This window comes from Homo sapiens, chromosome 16, assembly GCF_000001405.40.
Source record: "Homo sapiens chromosome 16, GRCh38.p14 Primary Assembly".
In the NCBI taxonomy this organism is placed as follows: Eukaryota; Metazoa; Chordata; class Mammalia; order Primates; family Hominidae; genus Homo; species Homo sapiens.
Genome location: NC_000016.10, coordinates 1583723 through 1597608, shown reverse-complemented (window position 1 = coordinate 1597608; position 13886 = coordinate 1583723). Strand labels below are relative to the sequence as shown.

General features: G+C 51.8%; 1 protein-coding gene and 1 long non-coding RNA gene across 25 annotated transcripts in view; one reads left to right on the top strand and one right to left on the bottom strand.

Annotated features, from left to right (window-relative positions):
- The window catches only part of IFT140 (intraflagellar transport 140), a 101646-nt gene that overhangs the window by 14464 nt on the left and 73296 nt on the right, over positions 1-13886 (top strand). For 23 of the 24 annotated variants that reach the window (XM_047434970.1, NM_014714.4, XM_006720990.4 and 20 more), the window contains 7 exons: positions 5021-5142; positions 5291-5433; positions 7829-8004; positions 9585-9676; positions 10305-10411; positions 11334-11479; positions 13189-13392. In XM_047434970.1, coding sequence (XP_047290926.1) covers positions 5021-5142; positions 5291-5433; positions 7829-8004; positions 9585-9676; positions 10305-10411; positions 11334-11479; positions 13189-13392 — 990 coding nt within the window. The other variant, XM_011522767.2, reaches the window with a different exon arrangement.
- The window catches only part of LOC105371046 (uncharacterized), a 29802-nt gene that overhangs the window by 12720 nt on the left and 3196 nt on the right, over positions 1-13886 (bottom strand). The gene's annotated exons all lie outside the window — the stretch shown is intronic.

Genomic DNA, 13886 nt, shown 5'->3' with positions numbered 1-13886 from the left:
ACAACACTCGGAACTCTACACTGCAGAGACATCTCTTCCCCAGACTTGGTGCAAGGCGCTTCCCTGCTCTTCCACCAGAGACCCTGTTGTGGTTACCCGTGGAATCAGCCCAGACCAGCTGAAGTTAGAAGTGCACTTAACCTGAGGCCGCTGGGGTATCCCACAGTCTCCCAGGAGAGCACGGCCAGGTTAGGACGGCCTGCTCCTGCTCCCTGTCCCAAGTCCAGACTCAGGGAGGGGCCTCAAAGTCCAGCTCGGGCCAAGTGCCCACAGTGCACCAATCAGCAGTAACCAGGGAGGCGGGCAATCCCTAGAAAGGGATTTCCCACTAAGTGTCCTTAGAAGTCCCATCAGTAGAGAAGAGGAGAGCACGTTAGACGGGCCAGGCCACTCACGCCTTCTGGGGAACTCCTGCGAGCCAAGTCTGAGGGTCAAGTAAACCCTCACCTGACGCGCACCCTGATGTGGGGCCAGCCAGCCTTTAGCAAAGCTTCCCAGTGACGTGCCGCTGGAGAACCCACCACTTTAACTCGCACTCTGATGCCGTGATGCACCCCCAAGACGCTCATCCAGCGCACGCCACTTTCCCATCAGCCCCTTAGTCCACTTAACTCTGGCTCTTCACAAGGAGAGCTGGTTTCTCACCTTTGGGGTAGCTTTTCTTTACGGTCTTACTGTATAAAATTATACCGTGTGAAATAACGCAGAATTCACAGATGGTGGAGAGACACCCCTCAGGAGTGGTGACGGGTACAAAAAAATGAAGGCGGAGGAGACCCAAGCCTGGACCCTGGGGCAGCTCAATGCTAGAGTCAGGGGTGAGGAGCAGAGGGTGCAGCCGAGGAGGTGGAGGCGCCTCGGGCTCAGTTCTACGTCTTGTACTTCATGCTCACATTCCAGGATCGTTGGGCAGAAACCTGAGGATCAGGAATATTTGACTCATTGCGTCCTGTGATTTCCTTTCCCCTGAGTTGGTGGAAGTTGAGCTCTTGATAGTAGACATCTGTCCCTCTCTCAGAACGAGGGTTTGCTTTCATCCTCCTGAGCAGAGATCTCTGCTTTTGGGCGCAGGCGCTCTAAACTTTTGCATCCAACAACCTCTTCCCCCAGAGCAGCAGCCTGGAAACTTGGACATTCCAGGTGGCAGCCTGGAAACTTGGACATCAGCCTGTCTGATGATGTTGAGAATGCTGGTTAAGTGGTCAGCTAGAAGCTCGTATGTGCTAATAAAGATTTCTAAAGTCACTTGTGCAAAAAATCAAAACAAAACAAAGCAAAACAAAAAACTAGCAGATGACATGTGAAGGGCACAGGAATGAATGCCTCTGAGGATGTGGTGTGCATAAAATGCTTTGCAGACACGGGAGCCACTGCGGTCCTCGGCTCCAGGGAGGAGGCTGGGAGGGGGATGGGGGGGTCATTCATTTTCATTTCTATCATTAGGTGGGGGGTTTTCTCAATATGTAAGCATTATTTTTAAAATATTTTTTAAAAATTACTAAACACAAATACACCAATAGTGGTTTTGTTTGTTTGTTTGTTTTTGTTTGTTTTAGACGGAGCCTCACTCTGTCACCCAGGCTGGAGTGCAGTGGCGGGATCTTGGCTCATTGCAAGCTCTGCCTCCTGGGTTCAAGCAATTCTTGTGCCTCAGCCTCCCAAGTAGCTGGGATTACAGCAGGCGTGCACCATCACACCCAGCTAATATTTATATTTTTAGTAGAGACAGGATTTCGCCATGTTGGCCAGGCTGGCCTCGAACTCCTGACCTCAAGTGATCTGTTCACCTCGGTCTCCCAAAGTGCTGGGATTACAGGCATGAGCCATTGTGCCTGGGCTGCCTAGTGTTTTTATTTTTGTCTTCATCAAGCTGTTAGAGTCAAGAATCATATGATAATATACACTATTCCTATGACGTGTACTTACATGCCACATGCTATTTTAATAGATCTTGCAAAACCTTTCTTAGAGGTTCCTTGTGTAAGTTTCCTTTTTTTTTTTTTTTCTGAGATGGAGTCTCACTCTGTCGCCCAGGCTGGAGTGCAATGGCACTGCAACCTCCACCTCCCAGATTCAAGTGATTCTCCTGCCTCAGCCTCCCGAGTAGCTGGGACTACAGGTGTGCACCAACATGCCTGGCTAATTTTGTATTTTTAGTAGGGACCAGGTTTCACCATGCTGGCCAGGCTGGTCTCGAAATCCTGACCTCGTGATCTGCTTGCCTCGGCCTCCCAAAGTACTGGGATGAGAGGCGTGAGCCACCAAGCCTGGTCTGTAAGTTTCCTTTATTTTATTTATTTGTTTGTTTGTTTGTTTGTTTATTTGAGACGAAGTCTCACTCTGTCACCCAGGCTGGAGTGCAGTGGCGCCATCTCGGCTCACTGCAAGCTCCGCCTCCTGGGTTCACACCATTCTCCTGCCTCAGCCTCCCGAGTAGCTGGGACTACAGGCGCCCGCCGCCACGCCCGGCTAATCTTTTGTATTTTTAGTAGAGACAGGGTTTCACCGTGTTAGCCAGGAGGGTCTCCATCTCCTGACCTTGTGATCCGCCCGCCTCGGCCTCCCAAAGTGCTGGGATTACAGGCGTGAGCCACCGTGCCCGGCCTGCAAGTTTCCTTTAAATCTGACATTATTTGAAAATACTCTTCCTGTGTACAATAAAAAGCATGTTATCCAGCATTTGGGGAGATTGGAGTCGGTGCTGCCTGAAAAGGCGGTGGGAAGAAGAGCGTACTGTGGGCTAAAGGGCCCCCAGTTTTGGGCCAGGAAGCGTCCCCTGGGGAGTGCTTGGCGTCTGAGCGGAAGAGCCACGCACACGGACTCAGACTGAGATGCTGCCCCTGGGTGCCGCCTAACCGCATCCCCTCGTCCCGGGAGGCCCCGCCGGCTGTCCCTGTGGAGCCGTCCTCCCCTTCCCGAACTCCACTCGCACCTGTCTGTGCCGCGCAGTTGCGACTGTGATGGTTTTAGATTGAGCACGCAGCGCACCAAGCACGAGGACTTCACTTCTTACCCCATTCTCCAGGAAACAACCGTGGCTCCTCGGAGAAATGGCTGATTCCAGAACTGGAATACAAAAATGAGCCTAGGCCAGGCGCTGTGGCTCACACCCGTAATCCTAGCACTTTGGAAGGCAGAGGTGGGAAAATTGCTTGAGCCCTGGAGTTTGATACCAGCCTGGGCAACATAGTGCGACCCCATCTGTACAGAAAATACAAAAATTAGCCAGCTGTGGTGGTGAGCATCTGTATTCCCAGCTACTCGGGAGGCTGAGGTGGGAGGATCACAGGAGCCCTGGAAGCAGAGGCTGCAGTGAGCTGTGATTGCACCACTCCATTCCAGCCTGGGCGACACAGTGAGACCCTGTCTCAAAAAAAAAAAACAAAAAACTTTTTTTATAAAATGAACCTAGGTAATCTTAGGGCACCAGAAAGGAAGTGCTCACCAAACCCAGGTAATGGGGGCACATCAAAGGGACAGAGAGGCCAACTAGAGAGCTTAAAGCTGGCACAATGTGAGCAACAGAATACATGAAGCAGCCTTGGATGATAACCCAGCATGGGAAGTAAATACCCACGTGTCCACCCTGATGCAAACACAGGATTGAATGAATGAGTTAATGGTGGTGAAGAGGCAGGTCTCCCATGCTGAAGAAGCCCGGGTGGTTTACATGGATGCTCCACCCCTGAGGGTAGGGTGTATCTCCCACTCCTCAAGTACAGGCTGCAGAGAGTGACTTCTTTCTGAACAGTACGGGATGGAGGGGGATCCGGGGAAGAGCTGCTTCACAGTGGAGAGACCCCACAAGCACAACCTCCACCAGGTGGTCGAGGTCAATGCCGGCAGTGACAATGCCGGCAGCATGCAGAGAAGGCACCTCAGCTTTATGCTCCTCCTCCCCAAGTCCTCCACCCCAGGCAACTATGAGAAAAACTATCAACAATCCCAGTGGAGGGGCATCCCATGATATACCCAGCCAGCAGGTCTCACACTGTCCAGGGCCTTAAGACAAAGAGCCTGAGACCCTGTCATAGCCCAGAGGAGCCTGAGGAGACACGGCGGCCAGATGTCACGTGGGGTCCCAGCCTGGCCAACATGGTGAAACCCTGTCTCTACTAAAAATACAAAAATTAGCTGGGTGTGGTGGCATGCACCTGTCGTCCCAGCTACTCAGGAGGCTGAGGCAGGAGAATTGCTTGAACCCAGGAGGCGGAGGTTGCAGTGAGCCGAGACCACACCACTGAACTCCAGCCTGAGTGACAAAGTGAGACTCCATCTCAAAAAAAAAAAAAAGTTTATTTTAAAAAGTTGAAAATATAGCAGTTGCTAACTCTAGGCATGAAGATGTGGAGACGCTCTGTAGAAGAGTTTCCAGTTCTTTCTTTAAAAACTTTTGAATTGTTTGAAATTTTCATCGTGTATACACAGTAGTTTTGTAACTTTTTTAAAAAAGGAATATGCATGTGTTCTGTTGCACAGTTTAACTTTTGCCTTCCACCAGTCACTCTGCCAGGACACCTGTCCCTCCACCAGTCACTCTGCCAGGACACCTGTCCCACCACCAGTCACTCTGCCAGGACACCTGTCCCACCACCAGTCACTCTGCCAGGACACCTGTCCCTCCACCAGTCACTCTGCCGGGACACCTGTCCCACCACCAGTCACTCTGCCGGGGCACCTGTCCCTCCACCAGTCACTCTGCCAGGGCACCTGTCCTTCCACCAGTCACTCTGCCAGGACACCTGTCCCTCCGCCAGTGACTCCGTCAGGGTACCTTGCCAGCCTTCATGGGGAGGTCAGTGCTGGGCACCGTGTGGCTGGTGTTCACCTGTCCCTCCACCAGTCACTCTGCCGGGACACCTGTCCCTCCACCAGTCACTCTGCCGGGACACCTGTCCCTCCACCAGTCGCTCTGCCGGGACACCTGTCCCACCACCAGTCGCTCTGCCAGGACACCTGTCCCTCCACCAGTCGCTCTGCCGGGACACCTGTCCTAACACGTGGTGTTGGGTCTTTCCAGCTTGGTGTCTTGCTCTTGTGGAGGTTGGACCAAAGGGGCCGAGTGCAAGGGACGCCTCTGCTGAAACACGAGTATGGGAAACACCTCACGCACTGCATCTTCCGGCTCCCCCCTCCTGGCGAGTAAGTGTGGGGCTTGCCCTGTGACCTGTGTGTGTGTTTACATCGGGGGAGGTGGGAAGCGGGCTGCTCCTGACCCAGGAGGGGCCCCAGCCCTGAGGTGCTGTAGGAGTGGCAGAAGAATCTTGCTTCGTGTCGTGTTTGCTTTCAGGGACCTGGTTCAGTTGGCAAAGGCAGCTGTGAGCGGTGATGAGAAAGCCCTGGACATGTTTAACTGGAAGAAGAGCAGTTCTGGAAGTTTGCTGAAGATGGGGTCTCACGAGGGGCTGTTGTTCTTTGTCAGTCTGATGGACGGTGAGGAACTTTGGTTGTGATTCTCAGGGGTCCTAGCATTTTAGGGGTGTCTGGTAGGGATTTTAAACTCACAGATGGCGTTTCTGCATAGAACAGTAACGGTGATAGCAGCAGGCTGCACAGAAAGATGACGTGTGCCAGGCGGAGTGCCGCAGCCACTCTCTGCAGCCATCCATCCAGTGTTGAAATGTTGCCCTCGCTTTGTTCTGATAGACAAGTTGAGTTTTGCTTGTGTTTGAAGGGTTTTCATGAGGAGGCTTTTAATCAGCATTTACAGGCTGACTGCATGGCACCAGAGACAGTTTTGGAAAAATTATTTGGTGGCACCCCTGGTATTCAGTCTGTGTAATTATCAAGCACCTATTGTATGCCAGGTACTTGGCTAGGGTGTGGGAATGAGGTGTGAGCAGGGCAGGGGGTTTCACTCCAGCCTGAGGCCCCCGGCCAGCCTTCATGGGGAGGTCAGCGCTGGACACCGTGTGGCTGGTGTTCAGCCCGTTCTTCCTCACTGTACGAGGGGGACAGGCTGCGCAGCCAAGGCCAGAATAAATGCAATATGAAGTTAAAAGAAAAAGCGCATCTCTTACAGCCATGTGACACTAGCCCAGGTGTGTGGGTTGCTGGCGTGGCTGAGGAGATGAGAGCCACACAGAGGTGGCCGGGTCTCGGGAGAAAGGAGGCTTTTGCTATCGGTTTCACCAAGCAGCCGGATCTTGACAGGAAGAAGAGAGCAGATGAGAGCAGACGGGGCTGTGTGGTTTTTGTAATTTTTAAATAAGGGAAATCTTTCATTTTAGAAGGTGAAGACATAGAGCTAATGGAGGGGGGACATTGAGAAGATCCCAGTGGGGACATCCGAGTGGGCACAGCACTGTGAGATGGCAAGGAGGGGGCGTGCCAGGATGGGGCCCCCCAGGAAGGCTAATGAGAAGGGGGTGGAGAGATGAGGCCCACAAGGAAGAAGCGCTGGTCACCTAGAGGAGGGGGTGCGTGCCAGGGAGGAGCCTGGCTCTGGTGGCGTGTGGGCTGCGAATTCCTGCCGGTTGTCCGGGAGCTGTAGGCTTTGTGGGTGAGTTCATCGCTGTGCCTCACGTCCTTATGTGGAAAAGGGGGTAATACTGGTGTCTACCCAGTTATCGTAAAGATGCTTAGAACTGAGCCTGCCACGTACTGTGCACTTATTAAATACTAGTTGGTGTCACAATTCACCTCTAGGTGATCCTGAACTCTTCAGCTGGGTAAGAGTTTGTGCTGGGTGTGGTGGTGCCTGTGGCCTCAGTCACCTGGGAGGCCTGGTTGGGAGGATCACTTGAACCCAGGAGGCTGAGGCTGCAGTGGGCTATGATCATGTCACTCTACTCCAGCCTAGCTGACACAGTGAGAACCTGTCTCTTGAAAAAAGAATTAATAATAAAAATAAGAACTCATTATCCATCGGGAAAAAGATGAGAGGGGAGGGGCAGGTGAGAAGGCTCCCAGAGGAGTCTCCACAGAGCAGCAAAAATGAGCCTGAGTCCCCAAGCTCACACAGGGCCTGCAGACAGAGTGGCTGGCCAGCACCGGAGCAGGCTCAGGCAGGGCAGGAAGAGGGGGATTCCAGGCTGGGTACAGTTAAGTCCTGTAGCTTAGGCCAGGAGCAGCTTGTGGAGGTTGAGAGAGGGAGGTCCAGAGAGAGCCTGGCAGGAGGCAGGCGGCACAGCAGCGACACCCAGGGCAGAAAGGACAGGGAGTAGTGGCCACAGAGAGGGCTTGTCATTTAGGGCCTCAGCGTGTGGAGGGTATGAGGTGGACTCAGAGCTCCGAGGCTGCCAGATCTGCAGGGTCAGCAGTGTGGATGTGAAACCCTCCAAGACAGGGGCAGAGGAGGAATCCATAGAGACAGCTTGAGGCTGAGCTGAACCCATGAAGTGGAGGTTGCAGCCTGTAAGGTCAGGTCACATGCTTCATTTTTAATTTTTTTTTTTTTTTTTTTTTTGAGACAGAGTCTTGCTCTGTCGCCTAGGCTGGAGTGCAATGGCGTAATCTTGGCTCACTGCAACCTCCACCTCCGGGGTTCAAGTGATTCCCATGCCTAGGTCTCCCAAGTAGATGGGATTACAGGCACATACCACCACGCCCGCCTGGCTAGTTTTTGTATTTTTAGTATAGACAGGATTTCACTACGTTGGCCAGGCTGGTCTTGAAATCCTGACCCCAGGTGATCTACCAGCCTCGGCCTCCCAAAGTGCTGGGATTACAGGCATGAGCCACTTTGCCCGGCCCATTTTTAAGTTCTTATACTGAAGATGCTTTGCTTTGAAAATGTCCTTAAGTTGATAGAAATGGCTGCTGGTGAGGGTCATGGAAGCAGATAAACCAGGGCCTCCTCATGTAGTGACCCCACGTTTGTCCCCAGGGACAGTGCACTATGTGGATGAGAAGGGCAAGACCACTCAGGTGGTGTCCGCAGACAGCACGATTCAGATGCTGTTCTACATGGAGAAGAGGGAGGCACTGGTGGTGGTCACAGAGAACCTCCGGCTGTCCCTGTACACGGTGCCTCCTGAGGGCAAAGCAGAAGAAGTGATGAAGGTGAGTGGGAGTGGGCTTGGGGGCTCACGCTGGGGATCTTGGGCCAGGTTCTCTCTGGCCTCGTTGACGGCCCTTTCTCTTCTGGATAGCAAGACTGAAAAAAAGCCTATCAACTGAGTTAGGGCGGCTAACGTAGCTAGCGGTGTCATTATTTATCATACCACATTCAATTCATAGGTGAAGGAAACAAAAGAGATGGAGATTCTCCTGCATCTTTGGGTGGATGTGAGGCCTGATGGGAGACAGCCTGGGCCCACCCCCAAGCTGCACCCCTCATGACCTGGGGTGCAAGTAAGAGAGTCACACTCGCTGCACAGCCTCTCATTCCACCTGCAGAACTCAGCGGGCAGGCGACCGTATCCCCGTCTTCCAGCTGGTTTGTTCCACAGGAATCCCTGCTCCTTGGAGGCCACTGAACTTTCCCTAAAGATGCTCTTGCAGATGACAGAGCTGATTTTTTCTCAGTCAGTGTTCATTCGGGCCTTTACATGCCCTGTAAGGGCGGCTGAGGACATGGGCACTAGTCACAGGGACCTCGTCCCAGGGGCCAGCTTGGGCCACCGTAACAACCTACCACGGACTGCGTGACGTGACAGCAGACATTTGTCACAGTTCTAGAGGCTGATATCCCACATTAAGCAGCCTGCAGGGGCCTCTTCCCGGTGTCCCCACAGGGCAGGGAGGGAGAGGGAGCACCAGCTCTGGTGTCTCCTTCCACGGCCACAGCCCTGCCAGGCCAGGGCTCATCCACCCCAGGATCTCATTAACCTTAAGTACCTCCTGAAGGCAAGTACAGTTGCACTGGGGGTTAGGGCTCCCACATATGAGTTTGGGGTATGCAGTTCAGTCCACAGACCTTGCTTTAAATACCCTGCTCAGTTCCTCACTGGCCGGTGGGCCCTGGCCAGGTTTGTTCTCTACAAAACAGGGATGATAGGCCTGCCCAGAGCGTGTGGTTGGATGAACAGGGAGCACCAGCTCAACTTAGTGATCACTCCAGAGCATGTCCACCGATGGCCACCTGCCCACACCCTGTGCTCAGTAGCCATTATTACTATTATTATTATTATTATTATTTTTGAGACGGAGTCTTGCTCTGTCACCCAGGCTGGAGTGCAGTGGCCCAATCTCAGCTGACTGCAATCTCCGCCTCCCGTGTTCACGCCATTCTCCTGTCTCAGCCTCCCAAGTAGCTGAGACTACAGGCGCCTGCCACAATGCCCGGCTAATTTTTTGTATTTTTAGTAGAGATGGGGTTTCACTGTGTTAGCCAGGATGGTCTTGATCTCCTGACCTCATGATCCGCCTGCCTCGGCCTCCCAAAGTGCTGGGATTACAGGCATGAGCCACTGCGGCCGGCCCAGTAGCCATTATTTAATGTACAAGAGTAGTGGTTTGCTTCGGCCCCTACATCTCAAAACCCAAAGCCACCTCACAGAGTTTCTATCATTTGTCCCCATGTTTCCCCCACTTGGTGAGTCTCCATGAAGTCACTGAGGACCAGAGACTCCAGGCTCCTGAAGCCGGGACAGGCCGTCTCAGCAAGCACGGTGCCTCTGCTCGGTTGTTTCCTCACACAGGTCAAGCTGAGCGGGAAAACCGGCCGCCGGGCAGACATCGCTTTGATTGAAGGCAGCCTTCTCGTGATGGCCGTCGGGGAGGCTGCCCTCAGGTGAGAGTCTGCCTTTCCAGTGCCCCTTGATGAGAGTTCCCTGAGGAACAGGCTCCTCTAAGTCAGCTTTGTGTTGGAATGGAGCATATGTAAAATGCACATATGATGCTGAGTGCTCTCATACTGGACGTACCCATTCACCAGCTCCCAGACTGAGGAGCTGAGCATTAAGAGACCCCAAGAGTCCCTGCCCGCCCCACTGCACTCCCTCGGGGCTCCCCTTACCCCCAGGTGGCCCTGCCTTGGTGTTTGCCCGTGGAATCTCTTTGCCTGGTTTTTCGGAGTGTGGCATAACTAGAATCAGTCGTTGTGGTCTCTGCTGCCTGCTGCGTTAGCTCAGTGTGCTGTCCGGGGCCATCTCGTGCTCTGTGTGGGGCTGCAATTCCTGTGTTCTCTTGGCGACCTCCTGCCATATACAAACCACCATCTATCGGCAACGGCTTTCTTTCATTAGAAACAGGACATAAAATGTCCCAAATGTAACAGCAGTGTTCGTTTTCATATCAGGAGTCTGATGAACTATGTCTTTTTCCTGACTTTTAATGTTTGCTCCACAGGTTCAAAAACCCCTCAGAGGGAAACGCCACTAACACAGGCCCTCCATGGGGCTTGCTTTCTTCTGTTGTAGATTCTGGGACATAGAACGAGGAGAGAATTATATACTGAGTCCAGATGAGAAGTTTGGCTTTGAGAAAGGAGAGAATATGAACTGTGTGTGTTACTGTAAAGTCAAAGGTGAGGCTTCCTGGCCTGGCACAAGAGAAACAGAACCAACCACAAGCATTGTGCGCCGGCTGCAAAATAATGGTAGTGAAACGTGGAGGCTACTCACACAATGGTAACTTGGTAACTCACAGCCATTCAAATAGTCGGGCAAGGGCAAGCAAGCAACGGCAGAGCTTTGTGATCCCACATGAAGGCCAGGGGGTTTGGTTAGAAGCATGACAACCTGCATCCCAGTACTTGGGGAGGCTGAGGAGGGAGGATCACTTGAGCCCAGGAGTTCAAGACCAGCCTGAGCTACATAGTGAGACCCCGTCTCCACAAAAAATACAAAAATTAGCCAGGTGTGATGGTGTACAGCGGTGGTCCCATCTACTCAGGAGGCTGAGGTGGGAGGATTGCTTGAGCCTGGGAGGTTGAGGCTGCAGTGACCTAAGATGGTGCCAGTGCACTCCAGTCTGTGTGACAGAGCGTGACCCCATCTAACAAGAAGCAAACCGATTCCTGCTCATTGATCTCTGTTCCCTCCTGAAATGCCACGGGAAGGACAGTGCAGGAAGTGTGTGTGTGTGTGTGTGTGTGCATGCATGTGTGTGTATGTGTGCATATGCACATCCAGAGCACAGGAGACTAGGAGGTGAGCCAGAGCCGCGTCTCTAGTGCCTGCTGAGTGCTGAGCATGGGGCAGCCCCGAGCCAGGCCAACTGGCCTCTAGGAAAGCTGGGAGAGCAGCATCCCCCACCACCCCCGCACTGGCACTGTGAGGTCAGGGCAGCAAGGACCTGGGCAGAAAGATGCAGCCAGGGATGAGGTGGAGAGGCACCAGACTGGGCGAGGGCTGATGCTTTGAAGAAGGGGGTTAGAGAACAGAGCTTGTTGCTGTTTTGTTCCCTTTTTTTAACTCTGTTCACATGCAGTTTGTTTCTACCTGTAGGTCTTCTGGCCGCTGGTACCGACAGAGGGCGAGTAGCCATGTGGAGGAAAGTACCAGACTTCCTGGGCAGCCCCGGGGCAGAGGGCAAGGACAGGTGGGCCCTTCAGACCCCTACCGAGCTCCAAGGAAACATCACGCAAATCCAGGTACAGCCTCCAAGGGTGTTCGGTGCACTCATTTTCTGCTGCATGAAAGTGGAGACCATGGCCGGGCGCGGTGGCTCACGCCTGTAATCCCAGCACTTTGGGAGGCCAAGGCGGGTGGATCATGAGGTCAGGAGATCGAGACCATCCTGGCTAACACGGTGAAACCCTGTCTCTACTAAAAAATACAAAAAATTAGCCGGGCGTGGTGGCGGGCGCCTGTAGCCTCAGCTACTCAGGAGGCTGCGGCAGGAGAATGTCGTGAACCCAGGAGCTGGAGCTTGCAGTGAGCCGAGATTGTGCCACTGCACTCCAGCCTGGGAGACAGAGTGAGACTCCGTCTCAAAAAAAAAAAAAAAAAAAAAAGAAAGTGGAGGCCATAAATGACTCTGAACCTATTTTTATCAGTTATTCAACTTAAGACTATGTGAAAATAACAATAATAAGACATTTTAAAAGACCTTTTGGATTTCAGAATTGCAGATAAGAGATTGTGGACCTGTATTAGTTATAATATGTATCTACCCACGAACCCATCCCTCCCTCTCCATCTCTCTCTATCTGTATGAAAAAGAGCTTTACTGAGATATAACTCATGATATATACAAAGTGGTTTTTGGTATATTCACAATTTTACAAACATCACTGCAGTGAATTCTAGAACAGTTTCAGCGCCACAAAAAATCTGTACCTTTTAGTGGTCGCTCTTATTTTCCCCTCTCCAGCCCTTGGCAGCCACTAATCTACCTCCTCTCTCTAAGGATTTGCCCATTCTGGATGTTTCATGGAAATGGAATCACACAACACCTGGTCTTTTGTGCCCGGCTGCTCCCACTGAGCTGAGGTTTCAAGGCCCCTCCAGATTGTAGCCTGTGTCAATGCTTTGCTCCTTTTCATGGCTGAATCACATTCTCTGCTGTGAACAGACCACGTTTTCTTTCTCCATTCATCAGTTGATGGACATTTGAATAATGCTGTTACGAACACTTGTGTACACGTTTTTGTGTGAGGATGTTTTAATTTCTCTGCAGCATTTGGTTCTTTCTTATGATTTCTCTCTGTTCCTGTTCTCTACCTGATGAGACACTGTCGTTGTAGCTTCCTTCACTTCACCAGGCTGGTTTCCTTCAGCTCCTTCACCACGTTTCCAGTGGCTGCTTTGAAGTCTTTGCTAAGTCCAACATCTGAGCCCTTTCAGAGCAGTTTCTGATGTCTGGGTTTTTTCCTATATGGAATTTATACTTTCCTATTTTGCATAGGTCTTTATTTATTTTTAGATAGATTTAGAAGTTTAATATAAAATTATGAAACCAACATTTCACATCAGCAGAAGAAAGCTGGATAATTTAATCCATTATGTAAACTTCCTGTCTGTTTATAAAAAACATAAACATCCCTATGTCACACTCAGAAAAGTGTGTCCCACTCAGAAAAACTCTAGAAAACGCTCTTCCCATCAGAACAGACATACCAGTGCTGCCTGTCCAATCACAACCCTTGAGCATCAGTATCTTGAAGTCTTTCTACACAGCATACTCTTTACCTTTATAAGACTTTTCTTATAATGTCTTATAAGATCATTTTTTAAGTCCGGAACAATGGTACTTGGAAATGGTTTCTGAGTTCTCGTGTGTGTAAGTATTCTCCTGACCGCATCTTTCTCCTGCTCTGTTCACACATCTGGTTCTTTCTCTTGCAACCTGGAAATGAAGTGGGGTTCCAGGAAGAACCTGCTGGCAGTGAACAGCGTCATCTCCGTGGCCATCCTCAGCGAGCGGGCCATGTCGTCACACTTCCACCAGCAAGTGGCCGCCATGCAGGTCTCCCCGAGTCTGCTGAATGTGTGCTTCCTGTCCACGGGGGTCGCACACAGCCTGCGCACCGACATGCACATCAGTGGAGTGTTTGCCACCAAGGTGACTGCCGAGGGGACCCGTGGGTGGGACACAGACAGAAGAACTGCCCCATGGCCAGGTAGTTCAGGGCAGCAAGGGCCCCAGATGGCAGGTTAGGCCACTCTCAGTTCCATCCTAGATTCTCTTATTTCCTGGATATCCATGTACATTATATTCATAAAGAAAATCGTAATAAGAATATAGGCCAGGCACGGTGGCTGACGCCTGTAATCCCAGCGCTTTGGGAGGCTGAGGTGGGCAGATCACTTGAGGTCAGGAGTTCGAGACCAGCCTGGCCAAGATGCTAAAACTCCAAAATACAAAAATTAGCCAGGCGTCGGGGTGTATGCCTGTAATCCCAGCTACCTGGGAGGCTGAGGCAGGAGAATCGCTTGAACCCAGGAGGTGGAGGTTGCTGTGAGCTGAGATCGTGCCACTGCACTCCAGCCTGGACGACAGAGTGAGACCATGTCTCAAAAAAAAGAACATAATAATAAAAAATATATACACCTGCC